This window comes from Homo sapiens, chromosome 6 (genome assembly GCF_000001405.40).
Source record: "Homo sapiens chromosome 6, GRCh38.p14 Primary Assembly".
NCBI classification, from domain to species: Eukaryota; Metazoa; Chordata; class Mammalia; order Primates; family Hominidae; genus Homo; species Homo sapiens.
Window position 1 is genome coordinate 76915436 of NC_000006.12, and position 1951 is coordinate 76917386.

General features: G+C 35.5%; 1 long non-coding RNA gene across 1 annotated transcript in view; it reads left to right on the forward strand.

The window, feature by feature from the left end:
- LOC105377862 (uncharacterized) overlaps positions 1-1951 on the forward strand; it is a 322839-nt gene that overhangs the window by 140486 nt on the left and 180402 nt on the right. The gene's annotated exons all lie outside the window — the stretch shown is intronic.

The following is a 1951-nucleotide window of genomic DNA, read 5'->3' on the forward strand; positions in this document are numbered from 1 at the left end:
TTGTAGACCTGAGTCCTTTACAAGTGATTGTGACAATAAATGTTTTTAAATAACAGGATAAGAAAATCATGTTTATGTTTTTAGTACCACAATTAGTTTTTAAGAGATCTTTGAAAAAAAAAACTTAGTCTATTGGGATCTGATTAAAAACATATGCAGGATACGTTATGAAAATGGGCTATATATATCTTAGAACTGCTCTGAATATAGGCTATGTCATTTAATAGTTCTATGGTCAATGAGCCTCATTTTTTATCATTTAAATAGGGAGAATCAAACTTAATATCAGCATGGCTTTAATACTTATATTAAATTATGTATGTATGTTAAAGCACTGAGTTAGGCTGCACCATTTTTCACAAATATTTGTGATTCATCACTGAAGATGAATTATGTTTCCCCAACTCAATAACATCACACTTAGACATGTGGTTTGCTTTGGCGAATGGTATGTAGGTAGAATGATGTGTTTCATTTCTGAACAAAAGACTTAAGTTATTGGCATATAGTCTTTCCATGACCTCTCATTTTTTTGTGCCACAAGAAAGAATAATGTTTAACATAGAACCTATTCCATCAGCTAGGTTCTTATTGAAGACAGTATGTAGCAGAGTCACAGCTGACTTAGAATGTACACTTAATGTGAACAAGAATTAAGGTTTTGAAGATATGAAAGAACAACAAAAAAGTAGAATAGAATAGAAAATAATGGAAAACATCAGGTGATGTCAATATTTGGGGCAAATATTATTCTGGGATGCTTTTGTTTTCATCTCAGCTGTATGTGTGTATTGTATCAGGATGTGATAAAAAATGTATTTCTTACTGTGTGTCAGTTTTTAAAAAAGTATAATGCAAGATGGAGTTTTAGAAGTAAGGAAGAATTGTTTTTATTTCTAATGTTGTTTTAGAAAGAAAACAGAAAGTGTGATTAATTCTCCCAGTATTAGGCATTAAATAGTACATGTATTTCAGGTAAAGCTGTATATTTTAATTCATCTAATTTGGTCATTGCCTCAATAATTTTTTGCCTTTGTATATTGAAATAGATTTCATTTTTGTCTACCCCTCAAAATGTAATGTTAATACACATATGATCTCTTTGGCTTCAGTTACTACACATAGATTTGGTGAGTTATATTCTAAAGATAAGAGATACTACAGCCTACATTTTCTTCCTTCAATGAACGTGCTCCAGAAAGGCCTGGATGGCCTTTTGCTCTGGCAGTGCAGAAGGGATTGTTCTATGGAAACTAGAAGTTACTAGCTGACTTTTGAAGTCCTTTCTACCTGTCGGATCCTAGAATTCTGTAGGTTTGTAGGCTTCTGGCCTTCAGGAGTGAGCACATTTGGACTTGTTCTCTGCTTGACCTCTAGCTTCCTGTGACTTTACATTATCCACACCGACTTTCAATTTGGTTTCACAACTTGATGGCACACTGTTTCCAGTTGCCTGGCAGAAAATGCCAATTCCTGTGCATCCATTTTCCACTTCTTAGTTATTTAGGACACGACTAAATTGTATGAAGCTCAGGGGAGACAATTTAAGGAAAGCATTCTGTATGAGGCTGACACACAGAAAAACCAGAGGGCTGAGAATCAGGAGAGAGTAGCCACTGAATCCACTCCTTATGTGCAACACACTGAGTAGGGTGCTAGAAAGCATCTCACCAAGGGGCAACATTTATCGGTGCTGAGATGCAGGTCTCCCTGTAGATAACCTAAGTGGTTTCTGTGACCTAGTTCCCTCTCTACCATGTAAATCTGGCCATCCACAGCTGGAAATATAAGCAAATCACTCCTATTTTCTTGGAGAAAAAAACTGAGGTAGACACAGGCAGGAAGTATTCTATTATTTATATAAGCATTCGAATAGCAAATCGAGTATGATCACAGCTTCTATCCTGCAGGGCAAGGTGTAATTCAAGGCAGAAAACATATACTAAAGGTC